Below are 9,552 nucleotides of genomic sequence, written 5' to 3' on the forward strand. Positions count from 1 at the left end.
TTTTAACAATGTTAGTTCTTCTGGTCCATGAACATAAACATCTTCCCATTTATTTGTGTCTACTTCAATTTATTTCATCAATATTTTACAGTTTTCAGTGTATAGATCTTTTACCTTCTGGGTTACATTTATTCCTAGATATTTTTGATGCTATTGTAGTTGTTTTTGATGTTATTGGGATTGTTTTCTTGATTTCTTTTTTAGTTAGGTGGTTATTTGTGCGTAAAAATGCTGCTGATTTTTGTGATTTGGTTTTGTATCCTGTAAGTTTAGTAGTTCTAACTTTACTAGATGCTTATTAGTTCTAACAGATTTTTGTGGAATCTTTGGATATATACATACATATATATACACACATATATACATATATGGATATATATACACACATATATATGTATATGTATATACACACACATATATGTGTGTGTATATATATATATATATATGATCATGCCATCTGCAAACAGAGATAATTTTACTTCTGCCTTTTTGGATTTAGATGCCTTTTATTTTTCTTGTCTGATTTCTCTTGCTAGTATTTCTACTACTACATTGAATAGAAGGTGTAGGAGTTGGCATCCCTGTCTTGTACCAGATCTGAGTGGAAAAGTGTTCAGTGGTTCCTCGTTGATTATGATGTTAGCTGTATTTTTTCATAAATAACCTTTATTATTTTGAGAAACTCTATTTCTATACCTAAATTGTTGAGAGTTTTTATAAAGAAATGATGTTAGCTTTTGTTAAATGCCTTTATTGTGTCAGTTGAGATAATCATGAGGTTTTTATCTCTCATTCTGTAATGTGACATATCGCATTGATTTGTATTTGTTAAATCATTCTTGCATGTAAGGAATTAATCTCACTTGGTCATGGTGATGATTTACATCCTTTTAATATCTTGTTAGATTCAGTTTTCTAATATTTTATTGAGCATTTTTTCATTAAAGTTCATCAGAGAAATTGGCCTGTGGTTTTCTTTTCTTGTGATGACTTAGGTATCATGGTGATGTTGGCTTCATAAAATGTGTTTGGAAGGATTTCTTCTAACTCTATTTTTTTGGAAGAGTTTAAAAAGTATTCCTATTAAATCTTCTTTGAATGTTTGGTAGAATTCAGCCATGAGGCTACCTGGTCCTGCGCCATTTTTTTGTAGGGAGCTTTTTTTTTTTTTAAATTACTTACTCAATCTCTTATTACTGGTCTGTTCAGGCTTTCTGTTTTACTCTAACTCAATCCTAGTAGGTTGTGGGGTTAGTTTTTTTTTTTTAGAAATTCATCCTTTTCTTCTACATTATCTAATTGTTGTCATATAATTGTTCACAATAGTCCCTTATTATCCTTTTTGTTTTTGAGGTGTCTGTTGCAATTTTTGCACTTTCATTTATTTTATTTGTTTGAGTCTTCTTTCCTTTTTTCTTAGACTAGCAAAGGGTTAGAAATTTAGAAATGAACAACTCATAGTTGTATTGATCCTGTGGTTTTACTGTTCTCTATTTATTTCTGTTCTGATTTATATTATTTTGTTCCTTCTGCTAATTTTGGGTTTACTTTGATCTTTGAAGGCGAGGTGCTGAGTCAATTGTGGCACAGGGAGGTGTGATTGCTTCATTGTACTAGAGGCATGAGGTCCATGGGGGAAGGGGTTTCACTTCAGCTTCAGTGCAGGGGCATAACTGCTTTGGTATACAGGAGGCCTGAGGTCCCTAAGGGCTGAAGACTATAAATCATACACCAGGACAGTCCCAGACAATATGGCATTTATTGACACCCTGAATATATCTGTGCATTTGATCTTTCCGTATATCCCATAGGCATTTCAAACTTAATACCTCTCATAGTGAGCTCATCTCCCTTCCATCGTCATGCTGAAATTCACCCCATCCCCATACCTTTATACAGAGTGTGGCTCTAGCTTGAACAGGCTTCTTACTTACAGAATGTATAGCTGTGCAAATCCCCCAAAATTGTGAATGTGGGAGATTATTTCACACAAGTAGATCATTTCTAACCCCTATTCACTGCAATCACTAGGGTATGTGGGAATGAACTACTCCCTAGTGATTAAAACAGGTTCTATTGAGACCCTGGAAACTGCTGGCCTAAGAATACAAACCATGCTTTCAGATTATTTGGGTGTGCTGACCCACCTTTCAGGCAGCTCTGGTGTCAGCACTTCTTGGGCACCTTCCCTGATGCCCCCAGCCTATAGCTGCTGCCCATCTCCTATGCTCCCACAGCATTCTGTGCATATAAACATGTAGCACTAGTCAATGCTGTGAGTTTGTCTACCTAACAGGTAGATTATGAGCTCCTTTTAAAAGAGTCTGAGTTCTCTAGGAGCCATTTATCTAGCTCTGAATAAATACCTGTTTAATTCATTTCTTTCTCTCTCTCTCTTTTTTTTTTTTTTTTACTTGTAAGTTCAGGGGTATATGTGCAAGATGTGCAGGTTGGTTACATAGGTAAACATGTGTCATGGAGGTTTGTTGTACTGATTATTTTATCACACAAGTATTAATCCTAGTACCATTAGTTATTTTTCCTGAATTTCTCCCTCCTCCCTCCCTCCTCCCTTTGATAATCCCCAATGTGTGTTGTTCCCCTCTATTTGTCCATATGTTCTCATCATTCAGCTCCCACTTATAAGTGAAAACATGCAGTATTTGGTTTTCTGTTCCTGCATTAGTTTGCTAAGGATAATGGCATCCAGCTCCATCCATGTCCTTGCAAAGGACATGATCTCATTCTTTCTCATGGCTGCATAGTATTCCACAGTGTATATGTACCACATTTTCTTTATGTAGTCTATCATTGATGGGTATTTGGGTTGATTCCATGTCTTTGTTATTGTCAATAGTGCTGCAATGAACATGGATGTACATGTGTCTTTATAATAGAATGATTTATATTCCTTTGGATATATATTCAGTAATAGGATTGCTGGGTTGAATGGTATTTCTGACTTTAGGTCTTTGAAGAATTGCCACACTTTGTCTTCCACAATGAAAATTTTTGCAAACTATGCATCTGAAAGAGTTTTGAAATTTGCATCTCATATCCAGCATCTATAATAAACTTAAAGTTACAAACATACACTAAAAAGTAGGCAAAGGGAATGAACAGACTCTTTTCAAAAAAAGACATACACATGGCCAACAAACATGAGAAGAAAAGCTCAACATCACTGACCATTAGAGAAATGCAAATCAAAACCACAATGAGATACCATCTCACACTATTCAGAATGGCTACTATTAAAAAGTCAAAAAATAACAGATGCTGGAGAGGATGTGGATAATTCATTTCTTAATAGGAAGTAAACCCAAAAGCTTATAATGACTAATGACTATCTATCAAAAGTAGAGGAATTGTTATAGCTACAAAAGGACATAGAAATAGTAGCAAGAGAGAAACGTGGATTTAAAAAGTAAGTGAAATCCATCTATGGGCAAGCCTACAGAATAAAGAATTTGAATATTCTGAACATTGTTTCTTTTGTCTATTTGATTTTAATATAGCTTTCATTGTACTTTTTAAAGACTGTAAACATATCATTGAAGCAAACTGGAAAAATACCAATAAATATAGAGAAAAATTTAAAATTTTTCATACTTCCATCATTAGTATACTACCACTTGTAATACTTTGAGGGATTTCTTTCTAGTATATATTTATTTATAAACACACACACATATATATGCACAAATACATACATACACATCATACATACATACACATTCTTTCCTTCTCTATTTATTATATACTATATAAGTTCTTATAGGTCATTGTATTAGTTCGCTTTCACATTGCTATAAGGAACTACCCGAGACTGGATAATTTATGAAACAAGGAGGTTTCATTTACTTACAGTTACATATGCTGTACAGGAATCATGGCTGAGGAGGCCTCAGGAAACTCACAATCATGGCAGAATGTGAAGGGGAAGCAGGCATATCTTCACGTGGTGAATCAGGAGAGAGACCAAAAGGGGAAGTGTTACACACTTTTAAACAACCAGATCTCATGAAAATTTACTCACTATCATGAGAACAGCAAGGGGAAAGTCCACTACCATGATTCAATCACCTTCCACCAGGCACCTCCTCAAACATGGGAGATTACAATTTGACATGAGATTTGGTGGGGAGAACAGAGCTAAACCATATCATTTTGCCCTGCTCCCCCCACAAATCTCATGTACCTCTCACATTTCAAAACACAATCACGCCTTCCCAACAGTCCCCCAAAGTCTTAACTAATTTCAGCATTAACTCAAAAGTCCATAGTCCAAGTCACACCTGAGACAAGGCAAGTCCCTTCCACCTAAAAACCTGTAAAATAAAAAACAAGTTAGTTACTTCCAAAATGCAATGTGGATAGAGACATTGGGTAAATACATTCCAAGAGGTAGAAATCAGCCAAAACAAAGGGGCTACAGGCCACATGCAAGTCTAAAACCCAGCAGGGCAGTCATTAAATCTCAAAGCCCCAAAATGATCTCCCTTGACTGCACGTCTCACATCCAAACCACACTGATGCAAGGAGTGGGCTCCTAAGGCTTTGGGCAGCTCTGCCTCTGCCACTCTGCAGGGTACCACCACCTCAGCTGTTTTCACAGGCTGGCATTGACCTGAGGCTTTTCCAGATGCATGGTGTAAGCTGTCAGTGGATCTACCATCTGGGGATCTGGAGGATGGTGGTCTTCTTCTCACAGCTCCACTAGGGAGTGCCCCAGTGGGGACTCTGAGTGGGAGCTCCAACCCCACATTTCTCCTTCACACTGACCTAGTAGAAGTTCTCCATGAGGGCTCTGCCCCTGCAGCACACTTCTGCCTGGATATCCAGGTGTTTTCATACATCCTCTGAAACCTAGGCAGAGGCTCCCAAACCTCAACTCTTGCCCTATGCACACCCGCAGTCTTAACACCACATGCAAGCTGACAAGGCTGGGGCTTGCACCCTCTCAAGCAGTGGCCTGAGAATATGTGTGGCCCTTTTAGCCACAGCTGGAGCTGGTACAGCTGGGATGCAGGGCATTATGTCCCAAAGTTGTGCAGGGCAGTGGGGTCCTGTGCCTGGCCCACAAAACCTTTCTTCCCTTCTCAGGCCTATGATGGGAGGGGCTGCCACAAAGATCTCTGAAATGTCTTCAAGGCATTTTCCCCAATGTCTTGGCTATTATAATAACATTTGGTTCCTCTTTATTTGTACAAATTTCTCCATCCAGCTTGTATTTCTCCTCAGAAAATGGGTTTTTCTTTTCTATCACATGGCCAGGCTGCAAATTTTTCAAATTTTTATGTTCTGCTTCCCTTTTAAATATAAGTTCCATTTTCAGATCATCTCTTTGCTCACAAATATAAGCATATGCTATTAGAAGCAGCCAGATGACATTTTGAACACATTACTGCTTAGAAATTGCTTCCACAAGATACCCTAAATCATCTCTCTCAAGTTCAAAGTGTCATAGATCTCTAGGGCAGGGGCACAATGCTGCCAGTCTCTTTGCTAAAGCATAGCAGGAAGTCACTTTACTCTGCTTCTCAATAAGTTCCTCATCTCCATCCGAGACCACCTCAGTCTGGACTTCATTGTCCATATCACTACAATTTAACAAGTCTCTAGAAAGTTTCAAACTTTCCTTCATCTTCCTGTCTTCTTCTGAGCCCTCCAAACTGTTCCAACCTCACCCCATTACCCAGATCCAAAGTTGCTTCAAAGATCTAAAGATATTTTCAGGTATCTTTATAGCAATGCCCCCACTCTCCTGGTACCAATTTGTATTTGTCCCACATTGCTATAAAGAACTACTTGAGACTAGGTAACTTATGAAACAAAGAAGTTTAAGTTACTCATAGTTCCACAGGCTATATAAGAAGCATGGCTGGGGAGGCACCAGGAAACTTACAATCATGGCAGAATGTGAAAGGGAAGCAGGCAGATCAGGAGAGATAAAGTGAAGGAGGATGTGCTGCACACTTTTGAACAACCAGATTTCATGAGAACGCACTATCATGAGAACAACAAGGAGGAAGTCCACCACCATGATTCAATTACCTCCCACCCGGCCCTTCCTCTAACACTGGGGATTACAATTCAACATGACATATGGGTGGGGACACAGAACCAAACCATATCAGACATTCTAAGCAAATTAATTGGCTTTTACTTTGAATTGGATGGTTAGCTACTGAAATGTTTTGAGAAAAGAATTGCATAATCAAAGAAGTCACTCTAGCTACCGTGCTGAGAATAATAATGAGAGTGGAAGCAGAGAGAACAGTTAAAAGGATATTGCAGTAATCCAGGTAAGAGATGCTGTGCTACAGACTAAAGGTGTTTTGAGATGATGAGAAGTGGTCAAATTCCAAATGTATTTGGAAGGTAGAAACAACAGGAGTTGGAGTACATGAAAGAGATGGGGAGAATGGAACCAAGTTGGAAAACGCACTTCAGGATATTATCTAGGAGAACTTCTCCAACCTAGCAAGACAGGCCGACATTCAAATTCAGGAAATACAGAGAACCCTGCTAAGATACTCCATGAGAAGATCCACTCCAAAACACATAATCATCAGATTTTCCAAGGTTGAAATGAAGGAAAAAATGTTAAGGGTAGCCAGAGAGAAAGGCCGAGTTACCTTTCTGAAGGGAAGCCCATCAGACTATCAGCAGATCTCTCAGCAGATACCCTAAAAGCAAGAAGAAAGTGGGGGCCAATATCCAACATTCTCAAAGAAAAGAATTTTCAACCCCGAATTTCCTATCTGGCCAAACTAAAAGCAAGAAGAAAGTGGGGGCCAATATCCAACATTCTTAAAGAAAAGAATTTTCAACCCAGAATTTCCTATCTGGCCAAACTAAGCATCATAAGAAAAGGAGAAATAAAATCCTTTCCAGACAAGCAAATGCTGAGGGAATTCATCACCACCAGGCCTGCCTTGCAAGAGCTCCTGAAGGAAACACTAAATATGGAAAGGAAAACGTGGTACCAGCCACTGCAAAACACATGAAAATATAAAGACCAATGACACTATGAAAAAACAGCATCAACTAGTGTGCAAAACAACCAGCTAGCATCATGATGACAGCATCGAATTCACATATAACAATATTAACCTTAAATGTAAATGGGCTAAATGCCCCAATTAAAAGACACAGACTGGCAAATTGAATAAAGAATCAAGACCTATTGGTGTGCCGTATTCAAAAGACACATCTCATGTGCAAAGATTCGCATAGGCTCAAAATAAAGGGATGGAGGAAAATTTATCAAGCAAATGGAAAGCAGAAAAAAGCAGGAATTGCAATCCTAGTCTCTGACAAAACCAACTTTAAACCAACAAATATCAAAGATGACAAAGAAGGGCATTACATAATGGTAAAGGGATCAATTCAATGAGAAGATCTAACTATCCTAAATATGTATGCACCCAACACAAGAGCACCCAGATTCATAAAACAAGTTCTTAGAGACCTACAAAGAGACTTGGACTCCCACACAATAATAGTGGGAGACTTTAACATCCCACTGTTAATATTAGATAGATCAATGAGACAGAAAATTAACAAGGATATTCAGGACTTAAACTCAGCTCTGGATCGAGTGGACCTAATAGATATCTACAGAACTCTCCACCCCAAAACAACAAAATATACATTCATCTTATTGCCACATGGCACTTACTCTAAAATCGACTACATAATTGAAAGTAAAACACTCCTCAGCAAATGCAAAAGAACAAAACAATAACAGTCTCTCAGACCTCAGTACAATCAAATTAGAATTTAGGATTAAGAAACTCACTCAAAACCACACAACTGCATGGAAATTGAACAACCTGCTCCTGAATGACTCTTGGGTAAATAATGAAATTAAAGCAGAAATCAAGAAGTTATTTGAAACCAATGAGAACAAAGACACAACATACCAGAATCTCTGGGACACAGCTAAAGCAGTGTTAAGAGGGAAGTTTATAGCACTAAATGCCCACATCAGACAGCTAGAAAGATCTGAAATCAACACCCTAACATCACAATTAAAAGAACTAGAGAAGCAAGAGCAAACAAATTCAAAAGCTAGCAGAAGACAAGAAATAACTAAGATCAGAGCAGAACTGAGGGAGATAGAGACATGAAAAACTCTTCGAAAACATCAGTGAATCCAGGAGCTGTTTTTTGAAAAAATTAATAAAATAAATAGACCACTAGCTAGACTAATAAAGAAAAGACACAAATAGACACAATAAAAAATGATAAAGGGGGTATCACACAGACCCCACAGAATTAGAAACTACCATCAGAGAATACTATAAACACCTTTACACAAATAAACCAGGAAATTTAGAAGACATTGATAAATTCCTAGACACATACACCCTCCCAAGACTCAATCAGGAAGAAATCGAATCCCTGAATAGACCAATAACAAGTTCTGAAATTGAGGCAGTAATTAATAGCCTACCAACAACCACAAAAAAAGCCCAGGACCAGATGGATTCACAGCCAAATTCTAGCAGAGGTACAAAGAGGTGCTGATACCATTCCTTCTGAAACTATTCCAAACAATCGAAAAGGAGGGACTGCTCCCTAACTCATTTTATGAGGCAAGCATTATCCTGACGCCAAAACCTGGCAGAGACACAACAAAAAAAGAAAACTTCAGGCCACTATCCCTGATGAACATCAATGCAAAAATCCTCAGTAAAACCCAGCAGCACATCAAAAAGTTTATCCACTATAATCAAGTAGGCTTCATCCTTGGGATGCAAGGTTGGTCCAAAACACACAAATCAATAAACATAATCTATCACATAAACAGAACCAATGACAAAAATCACATGATTATCTTAATAGATGCAGAAAAGGCCTTTGATAAAATTCAACATCCCTTCGTGTTAAAAATTCTCATTAAACTAGGTGTTGATGGAACATATCTCAAAACAATAAGAGCCATTTATGACAAATGCACAGCCAAAAGCATACTGAATGGGCAAAAGTTGTAAGCATTTCATTTGTAAACTGGCACAAGACAAGAATGTCTTCTCTCACCACTCCTATTCAACATAGTACTGGAAGTTCTGGCAAGGGCAATTAGGCAAAAGAAAGAAATAAAGGGAATTCAAATAGGGAGAGAGGAAGTCTAATTGTCTCTGTTTGCAGATGACATGATCCTATATTTAGAAAACCCCATCGTCTCAGCCCAAAAACTCCTTAGGCTGATAAGCAACTTCAGGAAAGTCTCAGGATACAAAATCAATGTGCAAAAATCACAAGCATTCCTATACACAAACAATAGACAAGCAGAGAGCCAAATCATGAATGAACTCCCATTCACAATCTCTACAAAGAGAATAAAATGCCTAGGAATACAGCTAACAAAGGACATGAAGGACCTCTTCAAGGAGAACTACAAACCACTGCTCAAGGAAATAAGAGAGGAAACAAACAAATGGAAAAACCTTCCATCCTCATGGATAGGAATAATCAATATTGTGAAAATGGCCATACTGTAATTTATGGATTCAATGGTATTCCCATCAAACTACCATT

Source organism: Homo sapiens, chromosome 4 (assembly GCF_000001405.40).
Source record: "Homo sapiens chromosome 4, GRCh38.p14 Primary Assembly".
NCBI lineage: Eukaryota > Metazoa > Chordata > Mammalia > Primates > Hominidae > Homo > Homo sapiens.